General features: G+C 47.9%; 1 non-coding gene across 1 annotated transcript; it reads right to left on the bottom strand.

Annotated features, from left to right (window-relative positions):
• Nucleotides 1-1438: 1438 nt before the first annotated feature.
• LOC124903790 (small nucleolar RNA U13) lies at nt 1439-1542 on the bottom strand. Its single transcript, XR_007065235.1, has one exon. It is a non-coding gene; the product is annotated as a small nucleolar RNA U13 (small nucleolar RNA).
• Between the last annotated feature and the right edge of the window lie 1540 nt (nt 1543-3082).

Raw genomic sequence — 3082 nt, 5'->3', positions numbered from 1 at the left:
TGAGCTGGCCTATTGTCCCAGCTACTTGGAGGCTGACAGTTCAAGTGCCAGGGTCCGAGCCAGAAGATGTGGGGTGTAACCTATGGTGAACGGGTTGTGGTCTGTATCACACCAGAGTTCATAGCCTAAGTAAAGGGGAGAGGAGGCAGCGACTGTGCTGCCGGGGTGGGAACCAAACTTCCCTTTCAGTCTCTTCCACTGACCTGACACTTCCCTTGTAGGGCCTCAGGATCCTCATCTTTCTAATGAAGAGGATCGTTTCCAAAGGATGGCAAACTTCAGTACCTTCTAATCAGTTATCTAAATTTTTTTTTTTTGAGACGGAGTCTTGCTCTGTCACCCAGGCTGGAGTGCAGTGGCGTGATCTTGGCTCACTGCAGCCTCTGCCTCGGATTCAAGCGATTCTCCTGCCTCAGCCTCCTGAGTAGCTGGGATTACAGGCATCCACCACCATGCCTGGCTATCAGTTATCTAATTTTATTTTACTTAAAATTATTGAGGTGAAATAACATAAAGTAACCATTTTATTTATTTATTTCTATTTATTTATTTATTTGAGATGGGGTTTTGCTCTTGTTGCCCAGGCTGGAGTGCAGTGGCACAATCTCGGCTTACTGCAACCTCTGCCTCCTGGGATCAAGTGATTCTCCTGCCTCAGCCTCCTGGGTAGCTGGGATTATAGGCACACACCACCATGCCTGGCTAATTTTTGTATTTTATTAGTAGAGATGGGTTTCGCCATGTTGACCTGGCTGGTCTCGAACTCCTGACCTCAGGTGATCTGCCCACTTTGGCCTCCCAAAGTATTTATTTTATTTTGAGACAGGGTCTTGCTCTGTCATCCTGGCTGGAGTGCAATGATAGCTCACTGCAGCCTTGAACGAACTCGTGGGTTCTCAGCCTCCATCTCAGCCTCCAGATAACTGGGGCTATGGCTAATGTTTTTGTTTGTTTGTTTGTTTGTTTTGAGACAGAGTCTCACTCTGTTACCCAGGCTCAAATGCAATGGCGAGATCTTGGCTCACTGCAACCTCCACTTCCCAGGTTCCAGTGATTCCCCTGCCTCAGCCTCTCGAGTAGCTGGGATTACAGGCGCTCATTACCACAACTGGCTAATTTTTTTTTTTTTTTAATACAGAGATGAGGTTTCACCATATTGGCCAAGCTGGTCTCAAACTTCTGATCTCGGGTGATCCACCTGCCTCAGTCTCCCAAAGTGCCATGCCCAGCTAATTTTTAAATTGAGACCAGGTCTCCCTGTGTTAACCATGCTGATCTTGAACTTCCAGGATCAAGTGATCCTTCTGCCTGGGCCTCCCAAAGTGCTGGAATTCCAGGCATAAGCCATCATGGCTGGCCTGATTTTTTAAAAGAAACAGAAATTGGGATTTTATTGTGAAATCTCCTGATCTTAGTATATTGGATTTCATTATTTTTACATCAGGCAGATAATGTGTCAATGTCAAAACAAGGTTTGAGGGAGGTGCAACTCACGCATGAGCATGAAAACACAGTCATCACGTTTATGAACTACAAAAAGATGTGGCTTTAATTATTTGAAAGACATCTTGGCCAGGCCCGGTGGCTCACTCCTGTAATCCCAGCACTTTGGGAGGCCGAGGCAGGTGGATCACCTGAGGTCAGGAGATCGAGACCATACTGGTCAACATGGTGAAACCCTGTCTCTACGGGCCGGGTGCGGTGGCTCAAGCCTGTAATCCCAGCACTTTGGGAGGCCGAGGTGGGTGGATCACAAGGTCAGGAGATCGAGACCATCCTGGCTAACATGGTGAAACCCCATCTCTACTAAAAATACAAAAAATTAGCCGGGTGTGGTGGCGGGCACCTGTAGTCCCAGCTACTCAGGAGGCTGAGGCAGGAGAATGGCATGAACCTGGGAGGTGGAGGTTGCAGTGAGCCGAGATCATGCCACTGAGCTCCAGCCTGGGTGAAAGAGCGAGACTCCGTCTCCAAAAAAAAAAAAAAAAGAAAGAAAGAGAAAGAAACCCTGTCTCTACTAAAAATACAAAAATTACCTGGGCATGGTGGTGGGAGCCTGTGGTCCCAGTTACTCAGGAGGCTGAGGCAGAAGAATCGCTTGAACCCAGGAGGTGGAGATTGCAGTGAGCCGAGATCACGCCACTGCACTCCAGCCTGGTGACAGAGTGAGACTCTGGCTCAAAAAAAAAAAACATTTTACTGGTCAATACTATATAAGACAAGCAGGCCGGGCGCGGTGGCTCAAGCCTGTAATCCCAGCACTTTGGGAGGCCGAGGTGGGCGGATCACAAGGTCAGGAGATCGAGACCATCCTGGCTAACATGGTGAAACCCCATCTCTACTAAAAATACAAAAAAAAATTAGCCGGGCATGGTAGCGGGCACCTGTAGTCCCAGCTACTTGGGAGGCTGAGGCAGGAGAATGGCGTGAACCCAGGAGGCGGAGCTTGCAGTGAGCCGAGATCACGCCACTGCACTCCAGCCTGGGCGACAGAGCAAGACTCCATCTCAAAAAATAATAATAATAATAATAAGACAACAAAACATTTGCTGGCCAGGTGATGAAAGGTGAATTCTGCTTTCATCACAGTTACTGTCAAGCATTCAACCACAATTTATTGAGACTTCCATGCAGAACTTTGTGGAAAGCAAAGCACTGGGGAGAGATTCCATGAACATCATTCATTTAAACACCCATTTGTTATTTTATTTTATTTATTTTATTTTATTTTATTTTTTTGAGACGGAGTCTTGCTCTTGTCACCCAGGCTGGAGTGTAGTGGCGTGATCTCAGCTCACTGCAACCTCCGTCTCCTGGGTTCAAGTGATTCTGCCGCCTCCTCCTCCTGAGTAGCTGGGATTACAGGCGCCCACCCCAACACCTGGCTAATTTTGGTACTTTTAGTAGAGATGGGATTTCGCCATGCTGGCCAGGCTGGTCTTGAACTCCTGACCTCAGGTGATCCGCCCGCCTTGGCCTCCCAAAGTGCTGGGATTACAGGCGTGAGCCACCACGCCTGGCTATCTTATTATTTTTTTAATTGAGACAAAGTCTCACTTTGTCACCCAAGCTGGAGTGCAGT

Source organism: Homo sapiens, chromosome 16 (genome assembly GCF_000001405.40).
Source record: "Homo sapiens chromosome 16, GRCh38.p14 Primary Assembly".
In the NCBI taxonomy this organism is placed as follows: Eukaryota; Metazoa; Chordata; class Mammalia; order Primates; family Hominidae; genus Homo; species Homo sapiens.
Note: the sequence above shows the minus strand (reverse complement) of the source record. Positions and strands in the feature narration are given on the sequence as shown.